This window comes from Homo sapiens, chromosome 1 (genome assembly GCF_000001405.40).
Source record: "Homo sapiens chromosome 1, GRCh38.p14 Primary Assembly".
In the NCBI taxonomy this organism is placed as follows: domain Eukaryota; kingdom Metazoa; phylum Chordata; class Mammalia; order Primates; family Hominidae; genus Homo; species Homo sapiens.
The window spans coordinates 112,939,400-112,965,698 of NC_000001.11; the positions used below are offsets into that span (position 1 = coordinate 112,939,400).

General features: G+C 42.2%; 1 protein-coding gene and 1 long non-coding RNA gene across 4 annotated transcripts in view, besides 9 other annotated features; one reads left to right on the plus strand and one right to left on the minus strand.

The window, feature by feature from the left end:
* Positions 1-16,797, minus strand: part of SLC16A1 (solute carrier family 16 member 1) — a 44,350-nt gene extending 27,553 nt beyond the window's left edge. The window contains exon 1 of one of the 2 annotated variants that reach the window (NM_003051.4): positions 16,636-16,797. The gene's annotated coding sequence lies outside the window, so the exon portion shown is untranslated. Of the gene's footprint in view, positions 1-15,876 lie in introns of both variants that reach the window. The other variant, NM_001166496.2, reaches the window with a different exon arrangement.
* Positions 4,423-4,923: an enhancer, noted in NCBI's record as "H3K4me1 hESC enhancer chr1:113486444-113486944 (GRCh37/hg19 assembly coordinates)". NCBI's record gives its function as "activates a minimal SCP1, AML or CMV promoter by ChIP-STARR-seq in naive H9 embryonic stem cells {active_cell/tissue: H9 hESC(naive)}" and the evidence as "EXISTENCE:reporter gene assay evidence [ECO:0000049][PMID:30033119]".
* Positions 15,804-16,393: an enhancer, noted in NCBI's record as "NANOG-H3K27ac-H3K4me1 hESC enhancer chr1:113497825-113498414 (GRCh37/hg19 assembly coordinates)". NCBI's record gives its function as "activates a minimal SCP1, AML or CMV promoter by ChIP-STARR-seq in naive and primed H9 embryonic stem cells {active_cell/tissue: H9 hESC(naive and primed)}" and the evidence as "EXISTENCE:reporter gene assay evidence [ECO:0000049][PMID:30033119]".
* Positions 15,804-16,422: a biological region, named in NCBI's record as "NANOG-H3K27ac-H3K4me1 hESC enhancer GRCh37_chr1:113497825-113498414".
* Positions 16,163-16,422: an enhancer, noted in NCBI's record as "active region_1521". NCBI's record gives its function as "activates an Ori minimal core promoter by ATAC-STARR-seq in GM12878 lymphoblastoid cells {active_cell/tissue: GM12878}" and the evidence as "EXISTENCE:reporter gene assay evidence [ECO:0000049][PMID:35858748]".
* Positions 16,753-17,112: a silencer, noted in NCBI's record as "silent region_1207". NCBI's record gives its function as "represses an Ori minimal core promoter by ATAC-STARR-seq in GM12878 lymphoblastoid cells {active_cell/tissue: GM12878}" and the evidence as "EXISTENCE:reporter gene assay evidence [ECO:0000049][PMID:35858748]".
* SLC16A1-AS1 (SLC16A1 antisense RNA 1) lies at positions 17,016-24,673 on the plus strand. 2 transcript variants are annotated; one of them, NR_103743.1, is made up of 3 exons: positions 17,016-18,323; positions 21,078-21,176; positions 24,573-24,673. It is a non-coding gene; the product is annotated as an SLC16A1 antisense RNA 1 (long non-coding RNA). The 2 variants fall into 2 exon arrangements; NR_103744.1 differs by having other exon boundaries at positions 17,016-17,557.
* Positions 17,574-18,162: an enhancer, noted in NCBI's record as "H3K27ac hESC enhancer chr1:113499595-113500183 (GRCh37/hg19 assembly coordinates)". NCBI's record gives its function as "activates a minimal SCP1, AML or CMV promoter by ChIP-STARR-seq in naive H9 embryonic stem cells {active_cell/tissue: H9 hESC(naive)}" and the evidence as "EXISTENCE:reporter gene assay evidence [ECO:0000049][PMID:30033119]".
* Positions 17,574-18,222: a biological region, named in NCBI's record as "H3K27ac hESC enhancer GRCh37_chr1:113499595-113500183".
* Positions 17,663-18,082: an enhancer, noted in NCBI's record as "active region_1522". NCBI's record gives its function as "activates an Ori minimal core promoter by ATAC-STARR-seq in GM12878 lymphoblastoid cells {active_cell/tissue: GM12878}" and the evidence as "EXISTENCE:reporter gene assay evidence [ECO:0000049][PMID:35858748]".
* Positions 18,123-18,222: an enhancer, noted in NCBI's record as "active region_1523". NCBI's record gives its function as "activates an Ori minimal core promoter by ATAC-STARR-seq in GM12878 lymphoblastoid cells {active_cell/tissue: GM12878}" and the evidence as "EXISTENCE:reporter gene assay evidence [ECO:0000049][PMID:35858748]".
* Positions 24,674-26,299: the final 1,626 nt, after the last annotated feature.

Consider the following 26,299-nt stretch of genomic DNA (forward strand, 5'->3'; position numbering starts at 1 on the left):
ATCTGGATCTCAAAGAGATTACCTGCACACTCCCATGTTCTCTGCAGCATTTTTCACAATAGCCAAGATATGGAAGCAACCTAAATGTCCATCTACGGAGGAACAGATTAAGAAAATGTGGAAAATACATATAGTTGGTCTTGTCGCCCAGGCTGGAGTGCAATGGCATGATCTCGGCTCACTGCAACCTCTGCCTCCCAGGTTCAAGTGATTCTCCTGGTTCAGTCTCCTGAGTAGCTGGGATTACAAGCATGTGCCACCATGCCGGCCTAATTTTTGTATTATTAGTAGGAAGGGGTTTCACCATGTTGGCCAGGCTGGTCTTGAACTCCTGACCTCAGGTGATCCACCCACCTCGGTCTCCCAAAGTATTGGGATTACAGGCGTTAGCCACCGTGCCCTGCATTTGTCAGCTTTTTAAAATGAGTTATGTATTATTTCTTTCATCATTCTAAACAAAAACTCAGCCTCATACTCCCTCCACTCCCCGCCCCTGCCCATCCCCTGGCACAAAAAGACAACAAATCTCAAAGTTTTTGTTCCAAGGCAGAAATGTATTTGGAAAAGGGAGTATTTTAATAGCATTTTCAGATAATTGAGGATATTCCTCTTTGATACTACACCAAAACCTGATGGGTGATTTTTTTTTTTTTTTTTTTTTTTTTAAAGACAGTGTCTCGCTGTGTCACCCAGGCTGGAGTAGAGTGGTGCAGTGCCTCACTGTAGCTCCTGGGCTCAAGTGATCCTCCCACCTTAGTCTCACGAGTAGCTGAGATTACAGGCATGAGACACCATGCCTGGCTAATTTTTGTATGTTTTGTAGAGATGAAGTTTTGCCGTGTTTCACAGGCTGGTCTTGAACGCCTGGGCTGGGCTCAAGTGATCCGCCGGCCTCCGCCTCCCAAAGTGCTGGGATTACAGGCATCAGTCACGGCCCGGCTGATAGTTTCATGATGATTAGTTTAAGTGAAATCTAAAGACCTCAATCGTGAGAGAGTCTTGAGGTCCTTGAAGGATCCAAAAAAACCACACTTTGAGAACGGCTGTTTTTTTAAATCATTAATTCAATTTGATCACAAACGTGACTAAATTGATACCTAATGGTTTATTCAGACTGCATATCATCTTGGTGCATTCAACTGAATCAGAATCAGGTTAGACAATGTTTTTTTCAGCACTACAGTAAATTCTGATGTATAACAGGGATGTATTAATTATAGAAAAAAGCTGATATATATGTATACTGGAAAGGATGGTCAGAGATGGTGCAGAATACACTATTTTTCACTGTACATCATTTAGGCTCTATTTAAATAATATATATTTTATACTTTGATAAAAAGTATGCACATACTTCTTATTAAAATAATTTTGATCAAGGATGTCAAATTTACTATTTTTAGTCAGTTAAAAAAGAACATGCAAAAATTCTATTATAGAACAAAATAATAATTCACTTTCCTTTACGAGTTCTTTAGACAAAATCATGTCCTTTGCAACAACATGAAGATGGTGGCCATTATCCTAAGCAAACTAACACAGTAAACCAAATATTTTTCTCACTTATAAGTGTGAGCTAAACTTTGGGTACACATGGACATAAAGATGGGAACAATAGACACTGGGGAATACAAGATGGGGGAGAAGTGAAGAGGGGCAAAGGGTTGAAAAACTACCTATTGGGTTCTATGCTTACTTCCTGGGTGATGGGTTCAATTGTACTCCAAACCTTACCATCATGCAATATACCTTTGTAAAAAACCTGCACATGTACCCCAGAATCTAAAATAAAAGTTGAATAAATAAATAAATAATGATGTAGTATAAAAAAAGAGTTCTTTGGCTTATCAAGTTTATCCCCTATAGACCTCTTCACACCTTTTTTTTTTTTTTTTTTTTGAGACAGAGTTTCGCTCTTGCTGCCCAGGCTGGAGTGCGATGGTACGATCTTGGCTCACCGCAACCTCCGCCTCCTGGATTCAAGCAATTCTCCTGCCTCAGCCTCCCAAGTAGCTGGGATTACAGGCATGCTGCCACCACACCTGGCTAATTTTTGTATTTTTAGTAGAGACGGGGTTTCTCCATGTTGGTCAGGCTGGTCTCAAACCCCCGACCTCAGGTCATCCGCCTGCCTTGGCCTCCCAAAGTGCTGGGATTACAGGTGTGAGCCACCATGCCTGGCCCACATCTTCTTGTAGTCCTAAATACCATACGTATTCTTGGAGAGCATTCTCCAAACCAGAAATTTGTCCAAAGTTTTTCCTAACAAGAAAGCTCGCAATGCACACTTGTCAGGAGTCTACAGGACCATAAAACATACGAAAGCTAACATTTGTAACTGTCCTCATCTCTACTGTGATCTAGAAAAGCCCTGTTTTGTTTCAAGTAAATATAGCATGTGCTAAATTTGTGATACGTGATGAAATGGAGAGTGTTTGTAAGATCTCAGGGCCCTTTCACCACCTAAAGTAAGACAGAAGGAGGTTGAGAGGAGGGTTTCTCCAGCATAAACAATATCCCTTAATTTCCAGCCTTTCTGACACCTCTCTCTGTCCACTGCAGTTCAAGTATGACCCCCTTTTTTTTTTGAGATGGAGTTTCACTCTTGGTTGCCCAGGCTAGAGTACAATGGTGCGATCTTGGCTCACTGCAACCTCCACCTTCTGGGTTCAAGCAATTCTCCTGCCTCAGCCTCCCAAGTAGCTGGGATTACAGGCGCGTGCCACCATGCCCAGCTAATTTTTGTATTTTTAGTACAGACAGGGTTTTACCATGACGGCCAGGCTGGTCTCAAACTCCTGACCTCAGGTGATCAGCCTACCTCAGCCTCCCAAAATGCTGGGATTACAGGCGTGAGCCACTGTGCCAGGCCAGTATGACACTTTTCTACCTTGTGAATGACTTTTGGTGAAGAATCTTTGCTAAATATTAGTCCAACTGAGTCAGCTGAGCAAAGCTTCAATGCTGAAATTTTTTGAAAAGGCATAAACAAAGTTCAAGTAACATGAAGGCATGTGGACATAAAGAACCAGCCTTAAGAAATTTCCAGAGAATGGGATTTAACTACCAAATAACATGTATTATAAATATTTCTGGCTTGTTAGGTGAAATGGGTTTAAGTTTTCCTAGACAGCTGCCTGGCAATCAATGTTTCTGCTAACCAGCATTAAGAGCTACTTTTGCTATATCATGAACAAAGCCAGTCAAGCTGTTTCAATGAAAAATAAACAAATGGAAAATGTTGGCTTTCTATTTGCAACTTCAACTAAATTTCATTAAGATACAATATGCCTGAGTAAGAATCAATCTTCATTTGTATTTACTGGGCATATGTTGATATATAATTCCAATTAATTTGACTTGACTTTAATACTCTACAATACCCTATGATGCTACTATTGTGACCCCAATCCTAATCCTCTTGTACAGTAGTTGTTTTAGATATGAGGAGGATTAAAGTAGTATAGAGAACTGATGAAGTGAACATATTTGTAAATGGGCAAACTAGCATGCAAACTTAAAGGTAATGAACATAGATATACATATATGCACGCACTTGTGTGTATATATTTACTTATTTAATCCTCTTTTGTCAATCTCAGCCAACGTTATGTTAAATAATCTGAATCTAGTAGCAAACACTCTTAATTCTCCTTGTAAGAAAATGACTTACATCATTTGTTCAACCAAATAAGCATGATTTTATTTAGGGAGAATGAGGCTATTATATAAGAAAGGTGTGGGGGTATAAAATGGATCACTTACTTTTGGGATAAGTACCCACATCAGTACAACTTTTTTCAAAAGATAGTGACCCATTCATTTTAAATTGAAAACCGGAATTTTCCAGTGTCTACTAAAAGCACCACAGATTAGCCGGGCATGGTGGCGTGCGCCCGGAGTCCCAGCTACTCAGAAGACTCTCTTGAACCTGGAAGGCGGAGGCTGCAGTGAGTGGAAAGGAAGAATGGGGTATACTTTGTTAGCTAACAAAGAAAGATTTGTAGAAGGGCAATATTTTAGGATAATAGCCAAAGAAGATCAAATATCAATGTCCTAAATTATCAAACTTCATCGTATTGTTTTTGCAATTAAAATTGCAAACCGGCTGGGCGCAGTGGCTCACGCCTGTAATCCCAGCACTTTGGGAGGTCAAGGCGGGTGGATCACCTGAGGTCAGGAGTTTGAGACCAGCCTGGCCAACATGGCAAAACCTCGTCTCTACTAAAAATACAAAAATTAGCCGGGCATGGTGGTGGGCGCCTGTAATCCCAGCTTCTCAGGAGGCTGAGGCAGGAGAATCACTTGAACTCAGGAGGCGGAGGTTGTGGTGAGCCGAGATCACACCACTGCACTCTAGCCTGGGTGACAGCATGAGACTCCATCTCAAAAAAAAAAAAAAAAAAAAAGATTGCAAACTAAGATTTAAAAAATTACACACCATACAACTGTATCATCATTTTTAAAAAGTATATCAGGATATACACCAAACTTTTTGGCCATTCATTCAACAAATCTGAGTGCCTGGAGTAAAGGCAGTAAAAGAGAAAAAGAGACAGACATAATCCCTGCCTTCATGGAGCTTAGATTCTGGGAAAGAAAGAAAGTAAATAGGTAAACAAATTAATTAAATAAATATGTTCTAATAGGCATACTTAAAATGCCATATTGCTGGAGGTTGAGAAGGGGAGTTAATATGCTCTTTCCATATAACTATGTTGACTGACTTGTTCCAATGAACATGTATTACCTGATAGTAAAGAAAATATGGCCAGGTATGGTGGCTCACACCTGTAATCCCAGCACTTTGGGAGGCAGAGGCGGGAGGATCACCTGAGTCCAGGAGTTCAAGACCAGCCTTGGCCATATGGCGAAACCCTGTCTCTACAAAAAATACAAAAAATTAGACAGCAGTGGTGGCACACACTTGTGGTCCCAGCTACATGGGAGGCTGAGGATCACTTGAGCCCAGGAGGTGGAAATTGCATGAGCCAAGATCACGCCACTGGACCCCAGCCTGGGCAACAGAGTGAACCCGTCTCAAAAAACGAAAAACAAAGCCCCACAAAGTAGTAGTTTTAAAACATGACAAGTTATACATGTGTGTTATAGAAAAATTAAAAGATATGTGTGAATAGAAAATAAAATTTACCTGTCATTCTACCATCCTCATTTAAAGTTATTTATGTTTTGATGTAAATCCTGACTTCCTTTTATGATAGTCATGCATATGAATAAACATAAATATGGAATATGTATGTATATGCTGCTTAATAGACATTTTCCATTAATATCAGAAACTTCCTTTTTTTTGACGGAGTCTCGCTCTGTCGCTGAGGTTGGAGTGCAGTGGTGCAGTCTTGGCTCACTGCAACCCCTGCATCCCAGGTTCAAGCCATTCTCATACCTAAGCCCCACGAGTAGCTGGGATTACAGGTGGGCGCCACCACATCTGGCTACTTTTTATATTTTTAGTAGACATGGGGTTTCACCGTGCTGGCTAGGCTGGTCTCAAACTCCTGACCTCAAATGATCTGCCCGTCTCGGCCTCCCAAAGTGCTGGGATTACAGGCCTGAGCCACTGCACCCAGCCTCTTTTTTTTTTTTTTTTTTGTTTGAGACGGAGTCTCTCTCTGTCACCCAGGCTGGAGTGCAGTGGCGTGATCTCGGCTCATTGAAACCTCCACCTCCCAAGTTCAAGCGAATCTCCTGCCTTAGCCTCCTAAATAGCTCGGATTACAGGTGCCTGCCACCGTGCCTGCCTAATTTTTGTATTTTTAGTAAGGGTAGGGTTTCGCCCTGTTTGCCATGGCGGTCTCAAACTCCTGACCTCAGGCCACCCGCCTCAGCATCACAAAGTGCTGGGCTTATAGGCATAAGCCACTGTGCCTGGCCGGAAACATTTTTTGATGTGTCTAGTTCCACAATGCTGTTTTTGAAGAACAGCATTCTGGTCTATGGATGTATTATACTTTAAAACATTACCTACTGTTGGCCGGGCATGGTGGCTCACGCCTGTAATCCCAGCACTTTGTGAGGCCGAGGCGGGTGGATCACCTGAGGTCAGGAGCTTGAGACCAGCCTGGCCAACGTGGTGAAACCCCGTCTCTACTAAAAATATGAAAATTAGCTGGGCATGGTGGCGGGTGCCTGTAATCCCAGCTACTTGGGAGGCTGAGGCAGGAGAATCACTTGAACCCGGGAGTCGGAGGTTGCAGTGAGCCGAGATCGTGCCACTGCACTCCAGCCTGGGCGATGGAGCAAGACTCGGCCTCAAAAAAAAAAAAGAAAAAAAAAAATTACCTACTGTTGTCCAGGTGCGGTGGCTCACACCTGTAATCCCAGCACTTTGAGAGGCCGAGGCAGACAGATCACCTGAGGTTGGGAGTTCAGGACCAGCCTGACCAACATGGAGAAACCCCATCTCTACTAAAAATACAAAATTAGCCAGGCATGGTGGCGCACGCCTGTAATCTCAGCTACTAGGGAAGCTGAGGCAGGAGAATCACGTGAACCCAGAGGCGGAGATTGAGGTGAGCCAAGATCATGCCATTGGACTCCAGCCTGGGCAACAAGAGCACAACTCTGTCTCAAAAACAAAACAAAAAAACCTACTGTTGCACATTTAGGTTGCTACATTCTTTTTTCCTTTTATAGTATTTTCCACACTACTGTGGAAAACTAGAAATTTAGGATATAATTTTAGACAAAGAATTTCTGCAAATTCTATTTTTTATTCATATTGCCAACTTGCTGTTAAGATTCTACCAATTTCTTCTTCCTACCACAGTGTAACAAAGGGTTATTTTTTCACTCTTTCACTGCATTTTGTGGCAAAAGTATCTTCAACTAACAACCATGGCCACAGCAATATTAAAAAACTAAGAGTAGGTTGGGCACAGTGGCTCACACCTGTAATCCCAGCACTTTGGGAGGCCAAGGCAGGCGGATCCACTTGAGTTAAAAAAAAAAATCCCTATATCTCATCCAAATATTAGCATTAGATGAACTTCAAGTAATCTAATTTTCCCAGTTTTTGAGAAGTAGAGAAAAATATGAAACCAGAAAAAAAAACCTCTCAGTGATGTAATGCTTTCTAGATCTACTGCTCTCTACAGTGAAAGAAGCAGAAAAGTTTTTGTTTTGTTCTGTTTTGTTTGTTTGTTTTTCTTGAGAGGGAGTCTCGCTCTGTCGCCCAGGCTGTAGTGCAGTGGCACTATCTCGGCTCACTGCAACCTCCGCCCCTCGGGCTCAAGCAATTCTCCTGCCTCAGCCTCCCAAGTAGCTGGGATTACAGGCATGCACCACCACGCCCAGCTATTTTTTGTATTTTTAGTAGAAAGGGGTTTCGCCATGTTGGTCAGGCTAATTTTGAACTCCTGACCTCAGATGATCCACCCAACTCAGCCTCCCAAAGCGCTGGGAGAAAGAACTTATCAATCTTGTTTTCTGAGCTATTCTTGGCACAAAGAACTTATCTATCTTGTTTTCTGAGCTATTATTACACCAGCAAATTTTGCCTTTTTTAATGCTTCATTTTTGCCTTCTTCTCACAGACTGAAAAACTGGCTACTACCTAAGTTGAGAGTCCTATGTCCCTTTCACATATTAATTTATTTCTTGGTTGGCCAGGAGTTTCCAAATATAGACCCATTTCACATTTTATAAAATGACATGAGATGTCATGGAGAAAAGAAAGCTGGGGGCTATGTCCATCAATAGTATGTTTTGCTTGGCAGAATTCTAAATTATATTCTGGAATAAATAATGGTATGTGTTCTATTTTCTACAGCAACTCAAAATATATTCAACAAATCGATATCTAAGTGGGCCATTTAAATTTATTAACACATAACCTACCCTGTTCCAGAATTTGAAGAAATGTACTGGCTGGATTAAAGTTACAAATAAGTGAGTTGTCAGGATTATATCATTTATGTTACTTTGAATGTAAATGAGTATTCGAATATATTAATAATAGATGGTATTTCTATTACAATCTACTTCACTTCCACTATCAGATGCCAAATAGGGAGAATAAGTGGATTATAATTCATTAAGAAAAAGATAAACAACAGAGAAAGCTTTTCCTTTTCTTGCAAAGAGCTAAATTGAACTATTCACTCACAGAAATAATTAACATTTTACTTAGTTTTACATTAACAAAATCTTTGAGGACTAGAGACAACAAAGTAATATAACATTTCATTTTAAAGTTTTAGTCTCATTTTAAACGTTTTTAAACCATATTTTAAATATGTATTTACATCTCTAATCTCTTCTAATAACTTTCTAATAACTGCTTGTATATAACAGTAACTGTTTAAAAATTCCTTGAGTAAGTCTGAACTTCATTATGATGCTATCTTTGACTTCCCCCATTATCTCCAATAAAGATCTAAGTTGTTTTGTTTTCTTGTTTGCTTCACCAGTAACAGACAAATCTCACAAAAGAGTATTAAAATTGAGTACTCTTTGGCACTGAAACATGATTCACCATTCTCTCCATGGAAATCTTTAGTAAAAGGAGAAAAATTTGCTGGGTGTGGTGGCTCACGCTTGTAATCCCAGCACTTTGGGAGGCCAAGGTGGGCGGATCACCTGAGGTCAGGAGTTCGAGAACAGCTTGGCCAACATGGTGAAACCCCATCTCTACTAAAAATACAAAAAATTAGCCAGGCGTGGTGGTATGCGCCTATAATCCCAGCTACTTGGGAGGCTAAGGCAAGAGAATCGCTTGAACCCAGGAGGCGGAGGTTGCAAGTGAGCCAACATCACGCCACTGTATTCCAGTTTGGGCAATGAGAGCGAAACTCCAGCCGGGGGCGGCGGGGGAGAAAAAAAAAAGAGAAAAGTTCATGTGATCTGAAGAGAAACCAGGGTATACTATTCTCAAATGTTTACTTGCAAAGCTTTTTGGGAAGATATTTGCAGGCATTAAAAATGTATCAAAGTCAGCATTCTTACCTCAAAACAGCACCATTAAATAGCCTTTTTAATTGCTAACGATATAAATCTTAGACTATGCTGCCATTAAGATAATTGTCAGTTATTTTATTAGAAATATACAATATATTTTTTTTTAGATGGAGTCTAGCCTAAAATATACAATTTTTTTTTTTTTGAGACAGTCTTGCTCAGTTGCCCAGGCTGGAGTGCAATGGTGCGATCTGGGCTCAATGCAACCTCCGTCTCCCGGGTTCAAGCAGTTCTCTTGCCTCAGCCTCCAAAGTAGCTGGGATTACAGGCAACCGCCATCATGCCCAGCTGATTTTTATATTTTTGTAGAGGCAGGGTTTCATCATGTTGGCCAGGCTGGTCTCGAACTCCTGACCTCAGGTGTTCTGCCTGCCTGGGCCTCCCAAAGTGCTGGGATTATGGGCATGGCCCCTGCACCGGCCAATATACAATTTTCAAATGAGTGTTTTATTTTATTTTATTATTTTTTTGAGACAGAGTCTCGCTCTGTTGCCCAGGCTGGAGTGCAGTGGCGTGATCTCCGTTCACTGCAAGCTCCGCCTCCCGGGTTCACGCCTTTCTCCCGCCTCAGCCTCCCGAGTAGCTGGGACTACAGGCGCCCACCACCATGCCCGGTTAATTTTTTGTATTTTTAGTAGTAAAATATTTGCATTTTTAGTAGTAGAGACAGGGTTTCACCGTGTTGGCCAGGATGGTCTCGATCTCCTGACCTTGTGATCCGCCTGCCTCGCACTCCCAAAGTGCTGGGATTACCTCCACCTCTCAGGTTCAAGCGATTCTCCTGCCTCAGCCTCCCAAGTAGCTGGGATTACAGGCATGCGTCACCATGCCCGGCTAATTTTGTATTTTTAGTAAAGACAGGGTTTCTCCATGTTGGTCAAGCTGGTCTCGAACTCTCAACCTCAGGTGATCCACTCACCTCGGCCTCCCAAAGTGCTGGGATTACAGGCGTGAGCCACTGTGCCCGGCCTCAAAGGAAAATTATTATGCCTTAATTTGTGACAATCATTTTATTCTCTGTTAGCATATACACAAACATTTTGTTCCCTCTCATTTGTGAGGTCAGAATTTATGATGATTAGTAAATAAAACCAAGTCAATAACCAAGAAATGGCATCATGATTCTGTAGAATCCTGTGACATCAGCATCTGTGTGCCGTGTTGCTTCACAGGTTCTGGCTAACTTCATTCTAACCTTGGAACAGAAGTAAAGAAGTTAGGAGCAGGGGTCCTTAGACTCTGGTGCCAGGGATTCCTTTGGCCATTTAGTAAAACTTATGGAACCCTTGTCAGAATAATGTTTTCTTTTTTTAATATAATTTTATTTTTTTTTCTTAAACAAATAGAGACAGGGTTTCGCCATGCTGCCCAGTCTGCTCTTGAACTCCTGGGCTCAAGTGATCCACCCACCTCAGCCTCCCAAGTGCTGGGATTACAGACGTGAGCCACGTGCCCAGACAGAATAATGTTTTTAAATGCATAAAATAAAATGCAAAGATAGAACTGTCAAAATACTTTAATTGCAATTAACAATGTGCTTTTAAAAAATAAAATAAGATCCAGCAGTGGGTCTAATAATCACACTAATTTTGAGGTAGTGATAAGCTTAAACAATTTCAAGATAGCTATAACAGCTGCATTATGGTATGAAGTACATGATTTCTACTGGTGACAAAGTCACAGGTACTGCTAATACAACTATGGTTTGTTGCCTACACTCATATTTGAATGAAATTCCAAGTTTTAGTTATAGGTTAATGAAAAGATATAATATTTTTCCCCCAAACAAGTTCACAGACCCCTCGAATTCAATAGACCTTAGGGGATCAATATGCAGACCCCAGGATAAAAATTTCTCATACAGGAACAGAAGAGCAGGTCAATAAAGTACAAACATAAGTTTTGGTTTCCAAAACTCAATAAGACAAATTACAAAGGCCCTGTTACCTCCAAAATAGTCTAACACACCACAGCAGTGTATAGACTTTCATTCATTCAATAATCTTCAAAAGGTTTGTGTAGGAAGAGCAAAATCAGAAGGAAGACATATTTTTCAATCAATGATCAAATATATAGCTTACGATATCAGTAGATTTTGAGGAAATTCTCCTATACTAAGGCTAAGTCATTGTAATTAAGTCAGATTCAACAATATCATGAGTTGTGATTAGCAACATGATAGTGTAGATAACCAACAGAGTTGGATCTTACTCTGCAGGACAAATGGTCAGTGACACCCTTCAATGGCTCAGCCCATGCAGCTGCCTCACTGGTGTGGTGGATGTGAACCCTTCTTATCATTATGCATACTGTGATCCCAGAAGATTGTTATTGCTAGACAGGTGAGGTAGCTCACACCTGTAATCCCAGCACTTTGGGATGCCAAGGCAGGAGGATGGCTTGGGGCCAGGAGTTTGAGGCCAGCCTGGGTAACATAGTGAGACCCTATCACTAAAAAAATGTTTAAATAAATTAGCTGAGCATTATGGCCCATGCCTGTAGTCCTAGCTACTCAAGAGGCTGAGGTGGCTCTGCTTGAGCCCAGGAGTTACAGGCTGCAGTGAACCATGATGGTTTCACTGTACTCCAGCCTGGGCGACAGAGTGAATTTATAAATTTATAAATTATAATTTATAGATTTATAAAATTATAATTTATAAATTTAGAATGTATAAATTCTATACATTCTATCTTTAAAAAAAAGATTGTTATTGCATTTTAATCTCTTCTCAGGATGACACTAGGAACCAAACATGCCACCTAAACTAGTCCTTCCATTCATTGTAAAAATCTCCTATAACACTCCCTTCCTGCAAAGAGAAAAATATATAAACTAGGTAGCAGTATTACAAATGAAAAGTGGGGGGTTGGACGAGAAATAACAAAAGGGACAAGAGATTGGCACCAACTGCATGTGGTAGGGCAGGGGGGCCTACTAGGAGAAATATTAAGAAGATTCAGAGGTTTTAAGCCTGGCTACCTTCAAGAATGGTAGAATCAGAAGAAAAAAACTAGGTTTGGAGGATGAAGGAAAGTTGAGAACAGGCAGAGATAATGAGCTTTAAGTGACATATTAAGTTCAAAATGCCCAAGAAGCAACTGGAAAAGCAGATCATCAATAAGAGTGTTCAACCCCTGTCCTTGAGGAACTTACAATCTGGAATCCTTTTATAGCTAAAGATTTGGATTTAGTAGTGATTCTACTAGGTATTCTCTAAAAGCTGTGGGAACAGCAAAGTCCTCCAAGAAAGAGCATGAAAGACCAAAAGAAACGCCATAAATTTAAGGACAAAAATTTTAAATATTCTAAATACTAAAAGCCATTTGAAATGTTAACATCAAGTGCTAAAAACACTTTTACAACTTAAAATAGTGGCCTTTTAAGAGGATATACCTCAATACATTTAAATACATTTCCAGAAAACGACAGTGTCTCAATAACATAGCATATTGTATTAAAACATAAACTTTAACTTGTCCTTCCTATTCAAACTGTACCTCTCTTTATAGAGGTATTCTAGTTAAATTAAAAATAAATGGTAGAATTAAAGGCATAATTATTTCCACTTGCAAACCACTAGTGAAATAATGAAAACAGGCTATTAGTGTAGTACAAAGAGGGATAACCAAATATATGCCTCCTGAAGGAAGTACACACCAATATCTAGGAATTATACTTGTCCTCTCCCCCAACACTCCCACTCGGAAATCAAACCTGAACTAAATTTGTTCAGTCTTCAATCTAGCTACCAATTTACAAGAAATACAAAGGATAGAGGGACATATTAAACTAGGACATGTTAAATCTATACCTGAGGGACATATTCATCAACATCCAGGATGAGAGAAACCGGAGGAAAAATGGCCTGGTTCCTTCAACAAATATTAGGTTGGTGCAAACATAATTGCGGTTTTTCAATTGCCATTGAAAGTAATGGCAAAAACCACAATGACATTTGCACCAACCTTACAAGGAAAATACATTACGAGGAAAATAATTAAGATGAGGGAACCTATAGATTAAAAAGTTTAAGAGACATCCCAAACAAATGTAATATGTTACCTTGTTTGGACCCCAAATCAAACCAACCAATTATTTAAAAACAACTGAGGAATATTTGAATACTGACTGGATATTTGGCGATGTTAATTTTTAAAGGTAGGGTAATGGCATTGTGGTTATGACTTTCTCGAGAGTTATCTTTCAGATATCTATATTGAAATAAAACAAATGAAATCATTTGTAGAATTTGCTTCACAGTAATCCAGTAGGGTCTGGGGAAAGTAGATAGGGGAAGAGAGAAATCGTGTCGCTCAACTCTTTGTGTTTTGAAATTTTCCATACTTAACTGTTCAAAAGGGAAAAAAGAAAAACACCATTCTCAGGGGTTGCCAACAAAAACTGAAAACAACAGTTTGAATTTTGTCTCCAAGCCTTACAAGCTGAGCAGCCCTGGTCTAGTCACACAACTTTTTAGTGTCCCTATTGGTTAAATGGAGACAAACAAATACCACCTAATAAACTCGTATTTGTTCAAGCCAGAAACCTGGGTTATATCCTTAACGTCTCTGACTTTCCCAGTCTCCCACATCTGGTCTCCACCAAATCCTCCACCAAATCCTGTCTGTTTCTCTACCAAATCCTGTCTTGTCCATCACTGTGGTCTCACACCACTCCAACAGCCTCCTTTCAGCCTGTTCTCCATATTGCATCCAAAGTGATGTTCCTAAAACACAAAATCCAATCAGGTTATCCCCAGCCCCACTGAAAATCCTTTTTTTTTTTTTTTTTTTGAAACAGAGTCTTGCTCTGTCGCCTGAGCTGAGCTGAAGTGCAGTGGTGTGATCTCAGTTTTCATTGCAGCCTCCACCTCCTGGGTTCAAGCTGTTCTCCTGTATCAGCCTCCCAAGTAGCTGGGATTACAGAAGCATGCCACCATGCCTGGCTAATTTTTTGTATTTTTAATAGAGACAGGGTTTCACCATGTTGGCCAGGCTGGTCTTGAACTCCTGACCTCAAGTGATCCACCCGCCTTGGCCTCCCAAAGTGTTGGGATTACAGGCGTGAGCCACCAGCTTGAAAATCCTTCAACTGCTTTCAATCAGCTTCAAGACAAGAGCGCTCCTTTAAAATTTTTTTACCCTCCTTTATCCCTTAAAAATCCCTTTAATTTTTTTACCCTCCTTGATTCCTTAAAATGGCTTACAAGGCCCTCCATTTTCTCATACTGTCTATCTCTTCAACTTCTATCTCTTCCCATTCTCTTTGACTTTTTTATGCTTTAGCTTTGGTAAAATTCAGCTCTTGCATTACACCCTGTACTCTTGAGTGTAGCTTCAGTGTTCATGTCTGGAATGTTCTTTCCACCCATCATCACTGTCTTGCCTGGCTAGCTCTTTCATCCTTCAAGTCTCAGGTTAAACAGTATTTCCTCAGAGAGGTCTAGCCAAATTGCTTCTATACTAAGTTGGGTGTCTTCTCACACCTACACAATACAGTATTTGTTCCTACAGGAACCTGTACCCACCCTATTATAACAGTACCTACTTGTTTGTAAAGAGTATTTGCTGTGGCAATTATATATTTATCTGTTTTCCAGCTAGACTATAACTCTAGGAGGGCAAGTGGTAAAATTTGTTCACTGCTGAATCCTAAGTCTCTCATGGTGCCTGGTAGCCAATAACAAATTGCCGAACATATAAAATTCACAACAATCTGGACTGTTTTCCTCATACCCAAGTTCCATCTTCCTAGTCCTCAACTGCAACAAAAACAAGACAGCTATGTAGGCATTTACGCAGAGATCTTAATCTTGCATAGGAGTGAGCATTATAAAGTGAATTGAAAACACGATGGGAATGCAGAACATAAGGAGCTGAGAAATCTATTTTCAGGCTGAGATAATTTGTATCCAAATTTACAATCTAAAGAAAAATCAGGAGTGCCAATCTAACAAAAATGAGTCCAAAGACACACATAGTTCCCACCAAACCATAACAAGTTTTCAGACCTAAGATGTTAGATCACTTAATCCCTCCAGCCCCAGTTTCCTTATGTGTAAAACAAGGGATCCTGATCAGCTGGTCATTAGGATCCTTTCCAGGGCTAATATATGCCCTAATATTTAAAGGCTAAAACATGTAAACTAGTGAAATACTAATCATTTGCTTTCATCCTATAGTGATATGACTTTTTTCCTTTTTAATCTGTTTAAGGACATTACAGTCTATCCCGTTAAGCTTACAACTAAACCTTCAAATCTATTCAGCTATAAAAATCTTACAAAATGCTCCTCAGATCATTAACTTGCATATTTAACAATGGTAACTGCAATCTGATGAAACAACAGCATCTACCTAAGACCAAAATGAATTACTGAAATATATTCAACTTCTGTGTAAATAATAAATCTTACCACGTGTTTTAAGTGCTAAATATCTTGAATTGTTGGTCATTTCTATGGCAATCTGAAGGCAAAGTCGTGCCCCAGGGTGTAAGACTTGAATTTATGGGTACTATTTAACACCTAACTAAAAAACTGAAGATACATAGTCTTTGCATCACCTCACTGGGCTGGTGGTTGGGATAAAAAAATTGTTGAAACCAGAGTAATTTTTGAAAAAAAAATTCAAAACAAGTTATAGTAAGTTACAGTAAATAAAGTAGCTTAGTAAGTTACAGTAAATAAAGTAGCGTGTAAACATTTTACTGTTATCAGTAGCAGCCCAGTTTCTAATCAGCCACTGGAAACCCAAAGAAAGACTAAAGTAGTAACAAGTTTGTCTCCTGGTTTAGATTAATTACAAACTAGTTTTGGCAACTGCTTGTTCCATCAAATATGTCATGACAAAGTAATAAAATGTTAAAACGCATGCTGGAAAAAAAAAAAGACGTACTTGGAACAAAAAACTTGCATCGGACCAAGTGTAACGCTATCCTCCAGATTTCTCTCAACAGGGCCGCCTTAAGTCCATGAGTAGAAGGGCGCTGCGGCGGACGCTGGCAGCCACAGGTTGAATGACAAAGAGCCCCCGTCAGCACCACTCCCAGGAGTCTGCGGGCTGCCCCGTCCCCTCCGCAAAGTCTACTCGAACCCTGCAGTCACGCCTTGGCTGTGGGGAATGCGGCTCTCCGCACCACTCTCGCAAGTCACCAGGTGGGGCAAGGATCGGCGGGCCAAGAAGGTTGGGGCGGACAATGTCACGAATCATAAATAACTTCTGCCCCGAGTCCCTTCCCTTGGGGCAGAAGCGGCCAGGAGAGTCTGGAGGTACCACATGCAGCAGCCTCATGTTATCCCTTTTCCAGATCAAAGCATCTCTCGAGGAGCCTATTGAAGACTTAGGGGGGAAGGGACTTCCCCACCGTCACCGGGCACCACGACCCAACTCCTCGGCCAGGCCTGGGACCGGCATCTTAGCACGGGGCCCGCGGCTCGGCTAAGAGAGGCGCTGACCCCAGCGCCTCAAGGTCTCCTTCACCAGCACTGCAGTCCGAGGCCACGCGGCTGCCTGTGACCACGATGCCCTCTGCTGGGCCGCCTCCCTCCGCCGGAGACAAAGTCTCCCAACCCCGGAGGTCCCCTCCGACCCCACCAGGGCAGCGAGGGCACCGTGGGGTCCGCGCCGCGTGCCGCCGGCTGTTACCCAACTAACCGTTATATGCGCGGATCGCAGCGCCGAGCGTGTGCGTGACGTGGTGGCGCAGGCTGGAGTTCCACGGGGCCCAGGGTCCGGCTCCCGTCCTTCGCTCGCTGCCTCGTTTGCTTGTTCCAGTACCCACGCAGCTAGCCAGTCACGTCGCAGCTCACCACTTTGTCTGGCCGGGCCAGCGAGGCTGCCTTATAACCCGCCGGGGCCGGAGCATGCGCGCAGGGGGCGGAGTCGTCTCTCCCGGCCGCCGCCCCCTCCCCGCCACACAGACATCCGAACTGCAGCCCGCGCCTCCACACGCTTTCAGCCGCGCGCGCCCTCTAGCTCGCCCGCGCGCGCCGGCGCCCCCTCCCCGCCACGTGACCGGCGTCCCAGTCCGACCCGCGCGCTGCGCCCCTGCTGAGCGGCGCGGAGCTACCACGCCCTGCCAGACTCGCCCTTGGGTCCCTGTCTGACGAGCTCTAGGCAATCTGCCCTCGTTCGGGACACAACCATCGGTCTCACCCCTCAGTTTCTGCCAGAGAAAAAGGAAAAGTCACCGAGAGGCCTGACCCTGACGGGTGGGGGAGATGCGCGTGCGGAGTAGCGGGAAGCGACTGAGGAGCGGGGAATGGGCAGCATTTGAATGGATGCGGGTGCCGCTGGCACCCGGGAAGACGCTGGGGGCCGGCGCTGTAGAGCCGGGCATGGGCTGGGATGTGTTTGGATTCCAATCCGGGCCTGACACCAGTTCAGTGACCTCGGGAAGTTCCCCAACCCTCCGGGCCTGTTTCCTCCCTCTGAAGTGGCGACAGTAGTAGAACCGACCTCGTAGGCTCATCGGGAGGTCCTGATGGGAGAACCCATGCAACTTGCCACCATAGAGCCAGGCCCGCGGCGGTTGGCGCCTGGTGGGTATTAAAGACGAGTCGGGAAAGAAGAGCAGGTAAGAGGGTGGGGAGACTGGCCCAGTGGGTTGGGGTGTGCACCTCGGCCACGTGGAAAAGCGAGAATGCAGAGGCCGGACGCTTATGGACGATGCATATGTGGGGCCGGATAGAATTGTGGCAGGCGGCGCTGGGGCTGATGCTCCTCACCCGGATTATCCTCTCTAATCCTCAGCCCTGTGAAGTGGGCACTGCCCTGAACATTTTGTAAATAAGGGACCCGAGGCTCAGAGAGGTGAAGTAACTTTCCAGACAGCCCAGCTCGTCAGCGGCCAGCATTTGAAGTCACACTCCAGAGCCTGTTTTTAACATAATAGCCGCTGTGACCGCATAACCAACGTGTGTGTTGAAGTGATCAAATAACCATGGAGTGTCTTTGATGTCCAGGACTTTTGAGAAATACCGAAAAATATGAGGCAAGGCCCCTGCCTTCAAAGAGCTTGCAAGTTTTTGGGGGAGACTTAGGCACAAATTAACCAACATCTGTTGAGCACTTGCTGCTTGCCAGGACCCTGCCCTTCCCCTCGTGTCTTCCTCCCTTCCAGGACTCACCCCCTCACTTACCCTCCCCCTCACTTACCCTCCCCCTCAATTCTCACAGCAACCCTGGGAGGTAGGCCTTATGGTTTCTGTTTTGCAAATGAAGAACCTGAGATTGAAGAAGAGTAGAGATTGGAGGATCAGATCCTGAGAGGTCCCATGTGCTTTCCAATAACAGTTCAGTATATTAGAAGACAGTGTGGCATCCACGGCCAAGTACTACTAGTGAGTAATACAGTAATTGCTTTTTACATTTGATAAACACGGAGAAAGGGAAGGCATTTCGGGTCATTGGGGCAGCTAGGACTTATAAGAGCAGTGCTAGGGTGGCAGCAGCATTCAGGTAGATGGTAAGGAGAATTAAGTTAGAGAGACAGGATCCTCAGTCTGGTTCAGAAGTAAATATATAAGGGCCTGTTCTATGGAATGTAGTGAGAAGTGGTTAAATAAGATGAATCCCAGGAAACCTCAAAAGAAGGCTTATAGAGCCCCATAGGGTGGTAGATTCACACTATAGACCTGAGAGCCAGATCTGTTCAGTTCCAAATTTGATTCTTGCACTTACCAGCTCTGTGTCCTCAGGCAAGTCATTTTACCTTTCCAAGCCTCACTCCCAACTCTGTAAAACAAGGATAATACCTACCTCAGGGTTATTATGATAATAAAACTAGTATTTATTTCAGGCCGGCGTGGTGGCTCAACCCTGTAATCCCAGCACTTTGGGAGGCCGAGGTGGGTGGATCACTTGAGGCCAGGATTTTGAGACTAGCCTGGCCAACATGGTGAAACCCTGCCGATACTAAAAATACAAAAATTAGCCATGCGTAATGCATAGTACCAGCTACTCAGGAAGTTGAGACAGGAGAATTGTTTGAACCCGTGAGGCAGAGATTGCAGTGAGCCAAGATCTCATCATTGCACTCCAGCCTGGGCAATAGAGTGAGATTCCATCTCAAAAAAAAAAAAAAAAAAAGGTCCGGGTGCAGTGGCTCATGCCTGTAATCCCAGCACTTTGGGATGCCGAGGCGGATGGAGCACGAGGTCAGGAGTTCAAGACCAGCCTGGCTAATGTGGTGAAACCCTGTCTCTACTAAAAATACAAAAAGTAGCCAGGTGTGGTAGCATGTGCCTGTAGTCCCAGCTACTTGGGAGGCTGAGGTAGAAGAATCACTTGAACCTGGGAGGTGGAGGTTGCAGTGAGCCGAGATGGTGCCACTGCACTCCAGCCTGTCCAGCCTAGGCAACAGAGTGAGACTCCGTCTCAAAAAAAAAAAAAAATTAGTATTTATTTTGCAGTGTCTAGCATATAGAAAACATTACATGAGACCTAACCCTAAAGATTAACCCTAGATGCCCTTCCCTTGAATAGACCCTAAGGAGGCTCTGAGAGGGGCCCTAACAGTATGTTCAACAGGATCATACTTTCTGTTGTATTGCAGTTTTGTACTCCTATCCTTGAAGATAGACAGTCATCAAAATTATAGACACCTCAGGCCCTACAAAACCTGGATCTGCTTTAATAGATTTTAGTGTTGTGAAGACTTTGGAATCAGAAGACCTGGCCCCGGCCGGGCACGGTGGTTCACGCCTGTAATCTCAGCACTCTGGGAGGCTGAGGTGGGTGGATCACCTGAGGTCAGGAGTTCAAGATCAGCCTGGCCAACATGGCCAAACCCTGTCTCTACTAAAAAATGCAAAAAAAAAAAAAAAAAAAAAAATAGGCCTAGGCCGGGCACGGTGGCTCACGCCTGTAATCCCAGAACTTTGGTAGGCTAAGGCAGGTGGAACACCTGAGGTCAGGAGTTTGAGACCAGCCTGAGCAACATGGAGAAACCCTGTCTCTACTGAAAATACAAAATTAGCCGGGCGTGGTGGCGCATGCCTGTAATCCTGGGAGGTGGAGGTTGTGGTGAGCTGAAATCACGCCATTGCACTCCAGCCTGGTCAACAAGAGCAAAACTCCATCTAAATAAGTAAATAAATAAATAAATAAATAGGCCAGGGGCAGTGGCTCATGCCTGTAATCCCAGCACTTTGGGAGGCTGTGGCGGGCGGATCACGGGGTCAGGAGTTCGAGACCAGCCTGACCAACATGGTGAAACCCCGTCTCTACTAAAAATACAAAAATTAGCCTGGCGTGGTGGCATGCACCTGTAATCCCAGCTACTCAGGAGGCTGAGGTTGGAGAATCGCTTGAACCCAGGAGGCAGAGGTTGCAGTAAGCCGAGATGGTGGCACTGCACTCCAGCCTGGGTGACAGAGCGCAAAAAGAAAAAAAAAAAAAAAAAGATCTGGTCCCATAACTGCTATCTGTGTTATTCTGGGCAATTAATTCACTGAACTTCCCTGGGCTTTAGTTTCCTCGCCAGATAAATTAAAAATAATACCTACTAGCCTGAACTGTTGTGTTAATCAAATGAGATAGTATCTGCAGAAGTAATTGGTAAAACTTGGAAAGTGTTCTGTATTCATGAATTAATGTCATAATTTGTCTAAAGTAGATAAAAGGGAAAAATTAAAAGCAACTACCAGGCTCTTACCTGGAAAAATAGAAACACGGTGGGTGGGTGAGCTGGTGAAAATAATAAAATAATACAGGTAAAATCCTTGCTCTTCTGCCAGGTTTTTTTCCTGATTTGAGGCACACGACATTGAAGAAATGAACTAGGGAGCATAGGATGAGAAATCAGAGTGGAGAGGAAATTGGAGATCATCTAAGGCACTCCTGACTTTTTACAGAAATGGAAATTAAGGCCCAGGGATGCTAAAAGACTTGTCTGAGGCCTCCCATCTAATGATTGGCATGATCAGAAACTCCAGTTTCTTTAAGTATAAAGAACAAGTACAACCTTTAAGATAAAATATTTTGTCATGGGGGTCTTTCAGAATCATTACATCAGAACCAGAGAAGGCCTGGTACTCTCTACTGGCTTTTAGCTTTATCACAAAATTCTTAGGATTCACCTTTCTGTTTTAAAGGTTGATAGACTGGATGCTGCTATGGTAATCTGCCTCAGGAAAATGCCGGACTGTTGTTTGCAAGCTGGTTAAGTGAGCAAATCTTGGGAAGATTTCAAGGTAAGAGTTGTAACTTCGGAAGTTAGTGATGCAATAAGAAATGCAAATGCAAACTTCAAAAATTATGATATAGGTACTCTTTAAGCTGAGTAAGTTGCTCTATTGCGTTATCTGAAAAAAGAAAGATGAAATTACAGTGTGTTCTCTGGAATTCACCTACTTAACTTACATTCTTTCAGTTACTTCACCATTTCTGTGATGTAGTAGATAGGAAGGTGCTATTTTGCCCATTTTAGTAACAATAAACAATACAGGAAAGGATTCTTCTTTTAATTGACACATTGTAATTGTACATATTCTAGGTTACAGTTTTGGTGTTTCCATACATACAAATGTTGTATACTGATCAAATCAGGGTACTTAGCATATCTCTCACCTCATGCTATTTTGTAATATACAATACCTTATTGTTAACAGCAACCCTACTGTGCAATAAAACACCAGAACTTATTCTTCCAATCTAATTGTCACTTTGTACCTGTTGACCAACCTCTCCCTATCCTCCTTTCCTCTCTCCCCTTTCTAGTCTCAGATAACCACTGTTCTCTCTGCTTCTAAGATATAAACTCTTTCTTTAAAAAAAATTAGATTCCACAGATCATACAGTATTTATCTTTCTGTGTCTGGCTTATTTCACTTAACATAATGTCCTCCAGGTTTAACCGTATTTTCACAAATGGCAAGATTTCATGCTTTTTTACAGCTGTATAATATTCTGTAATCCATATGTACCACATTTTCTCTTTTTTTCCTTTTTCTTTTTCTTTTTTTTTTTTTTTTGAGACTGAGTCTCGCTGTGTTCCCCAGGCTGGAGTGCGGTGGTGCAATCTCAGCTTACTGCAACCTCCGCCTCCCAAATTCAAGCAATTCTTCTGCCTCAGCCTCCCAAGTAGCTGGGATTACAGGCGCCTGCCACCACGCCTGGCTAATTTTTGTATTTTTAGTAGAGACGGGGTTTCACCATATTACTCAGGCTGGTCTGGAACTCCTGACCTCAAGTGACCCACCCACCTCGGTCTCCCAAAGTGCTGGGATTACAGGCATGAGCCACCGTGCCCGGCCTCACATTTTCTTTATTCATTCATTCACTGTTAGATGTTTGGGTTGATTCCATATCTTGGTTATTGTAAATAGTGCTGCAGTAAACATAGGAGGGCAGATACCACTTCAATGTAACTGATTTCATTTCCTTTGAATATATAGCCACTAGTGGGACTCCTGGCTCACACAGTAGTTCTATTTTTAATTTTTTGAGGAAAAAATTTTCAACAAAGGTGCCAAGAACACACACTGGGGAAAAGATAGTCTCTTAAATAAACGTTGCTGGGAAAATTGGAAAGTCACATGCAGAAGAATAAGACTAGACCCTGTCTCCACCATATACACAAATCAACTCAAAATGGATTAAAGACTGTCTTCTATAGCTGCTGTACTAATTTGTAATTCCACCAAAAATGTGCAAGTGTTGTCTTTTCTCCACATCCTTGCCAACAGTTGTTTTTTTTGTTTTGTTTTGTTTTTTAAGACAGAGACAGAGTCTCACTGTGTCACTCAGGCTGGAGTGCAGTGGTGCAATCTCGGCTCATTGCAACCTCTGCTTCGTGGGTTCAAGCAATTCTCCTGCCTCAGCCTCCGAGTAGCTGGGACTATAGGCATGTGCCACCATACCTGGCTAATTTTTGTATTTTTAGTAGAGTCGGGGTTTCACTATGTTGGCCAGGCTGGCCTTGAATTCCTGACCTCAAGTTATCCACCTGCCTCAGCCTCCCAAAGTGCTGGGATTACAGGCATGAGCCACCACGCAGCCTGTCTGTTTGTTAATAGCCATTCTAACTAGAGTGAGATGATATCTCATTGTGATTTTGATTTGCATTTGCCTGATGATTAGGGATGTTGAGGATTTTTTCATGTAACTGTTGGCCAGGCTGGCCTTGAATTCCTGACCTCAAGTGATCCACCTGCCTCAGCCTCCCAAAGTGCTGGGATTACAGGCATGAGCCACCACGCAGCCTGTCTGTTTGTTAATAGCCATTCTAACTAGAGTGAGATGATATCTCATTGTGATTTTGATTTGCATTTGCCTGATGATTAGGGATGTTGAGCATTTTTTCATGTACCTGTTGGCCATTTGTATGTCTTCTTTTGAGAAATGCCTATTAAGGTCTTTTGCCCACTTTTAAATTAAGATAATTTGTTTTTCATTGTTGAATTAAGTTATTATATATTCTTCAGATATTAACTCCTTGTGAGATGTATAGTTTGCTTATATTTTCTTCCATTCTGTAGATTTTCTCTTCATTTTGTTGTTTCCTTTTTAAGTACAAAAGCTTTTCAGTTTGATGTAATCCCATTGGTCTATTTTTTGCTTTTGTTGTCTGTGCTTTGAGATCTCTTTTTAAAAACCCTTGCCCAACCCGGTGTTGCAAAGCATTTCCCTTATGTTTTCTTTTAGTAATTTCATAGTTTCAAGTTTTATATATAAGTCTTTAATCCATTTTGAGTTGATTTGTGTATATAGTGGAGACAGGGTCTAGTCTTAGTCTTCTGCATGTGACTTTCCAATTTTCCCAGCACCATTTATTGAAGAAACTGTCTTTTTCCCAGTGCATGTTCTTGGCACCTTTGTTGAAAAACAGTTGGCCATAGATGCATGAATTTATTTCTGGGTTCTTTATTCTCTTTCATTGGTCTCTGTGTTTGTGTTTATGCCAATACCATGCTGTTTTGGTTACTATAGCCTTGTAGTACATTTTGCAATCAAGTACTGTGATGCCTCAGCTTTGTTATTTTTGCTCAGGATTGATTTGCCTATTTGAGTCTTTTGTGGCTCCATGTGAATTTAATGATTGTCTTTTTTTTTTTTTTTTTTTTTTTGAGACGGAGTTTTGCTCTTGTTGCCCTGGCTGGAGTGCAATGGCACAATCTCGGCTCACCGCAGCCTCTGCCTCCCAGGTTCAAGTGATTCTCCTGCCTCACCCTCCCTAGTAGCTGGGATTACAGGCATGCGCCATCATGCCTGGCTAATTTTGTATTTTTAGTAGAGACAGGGTTTCTCCATGTTGGTCAGGCTGGTCTCGAACTCCCGATCTCAGGTGATCCGCCCTCCTCTGCCTCCCAAAGTGCTGGAATTACAGAGTGAGCCACCGCGCCTGGCTGTCTTTTTTATTTCTGTGAAATATATTATAGGTATTTGATAGAGATTATATTTAGTTTGTAGATCACTTTGGGTAGTATGAGTGTTTTAACAATACTAATTCTCCCATGAACATGAAACGTCTTTCCATTCATTTGTGTCTTCTTCAATTTCTTTCATCAAGGTTTTATAGTTTTTCAGTTTAGAGATCTTTAACCTCCTTGGTTAAGTTTATTCTTTTTTTTTTTTTTTTTTTTTTGCAGCACACCAACATGGCACATGTATACATATGTAACAAACCTGCACATTGTGCACATGTACCCTAAAACTTAAAGTGTAACAATAATAAAATTTTTTTAAAAAAGTTTATTCTTAAGTATCTTATTTTTGTGTAGTTATTGTAAATGGAATTATCTTCCTGATTTCTTTTAGGAAAGGATTCTTTTTAAACAATATTTTGTCATTAAGAACACTGCCCCCCCCTCATAATATATAATAATTTAATAGGGAATATGGAAAATGTGATTTGCTTTTGAACCATGTTTGAAAAAAGGTTTGCTAAACAAATACCTGGAGTAAAGAAGATAATGCCAATCCTAAAGACATTCTTTCTTTAAAGTTGAGAGCCCTCTCATTCAGAATATCATCATCTAATTTCAGGTTATATGTCAGGTGTAGTCCTACTGCTTTCAAAGGCCTATGTCTGGATCTAGGATGAATTTTGCCATTCTTTAAAGAAAGACTAACTCGGTATTCGTGAGATGCACTCTAAGCTCCTCCCTGACCTCCCCCGTTTCTCTTCAGCTCTCTTTGCTCTGTTTTGACCTATCACTTATCTTACCAGCTTGCACCAGTTTAGTATCCTAATCAGTTACTTCTCTGGCACTCTACTGACATGGCATGGCGCAGTCAAAATAGTTTGCTAGAAAACAAAATGTTTGCAATAAAAATGTCTTCAACATGACAAATAAGTCAAAAATTATTGTTTCCAACTGCTGGTTTTTTGTATGTTTAGTTATTCTGGTGGCCAGGGATTTGCTTTATTGCTTCTTTGGGCCTTTGAGAATTTTTTTGTGCACACACAGACACACACACACACACACATATATATATGTTTCTTAAGGAATCATATTGTACATACTGTTTCTTTCCACTAACACGGAATCTCACTCTGTCTGCCAGGCTGGAGTGCAGTGGCGAGATCTCAGCTCACTGCAACCTCGGCCTCCCGGGTTCAAGCGATTCTCCTGCCTCAGCCTCCCAAGTAGCTAGGCTTACAGGGGCGTGCCACCATGCCCGACTGATTTTTGTATTTTTAGTAGAGACAGGGTTTCACCATGTTGGCCAGGCTAGTCTTGAACCCCTGACCTCAGATCCACCCGCCTCGGCCTCCCAAATTGCTGGGATTACAGGCGTGAGCCACCACGCCTGGCCGCTGTTTACTACTTTTTAAATATTTGCAGGCTGGGCGTGGCAGCTCACGCCTGTAATCCCAGCACTTTGGAAGGCTGAGGCAGGTGGATCACGAGGTCGGGAGTTTCAGACCAGCCTGGCCAAAGTGGTGAAACCCCGTCTCTACTAAAAATACAAAAATTGGTGGCGGGTGCCTGTAATCCCAGCTACTCGGGAGGCTGAGGCAGAGAATTGCTTGAACCCGGGAGGCAGAGGTTGTAGTGAGCTGAGATGGCGCCACTGCATTCCAGCCTGGGCGACAGCGAGCCTTTGTCTCAAAAAATATATATATATATATATTTGCAATGGCTTGATAATATGAAACATTTACGTTGCTTCTTAATAATTATCTAAGAATTAATTTAGATTAAAAAGCACAAAAGTTTGAAACATACCTAAAATATTATGATAATCTGACAGTACTGCTTTAAAACTTTAAAGGTGGCAAAACAATCCATATGGAAAACAAGCAGCTGAGAATATTCCTTTTTGACCCATTTATCTTCAAATTCAATTTGTTTTCCTTTTTTTTTTTTTT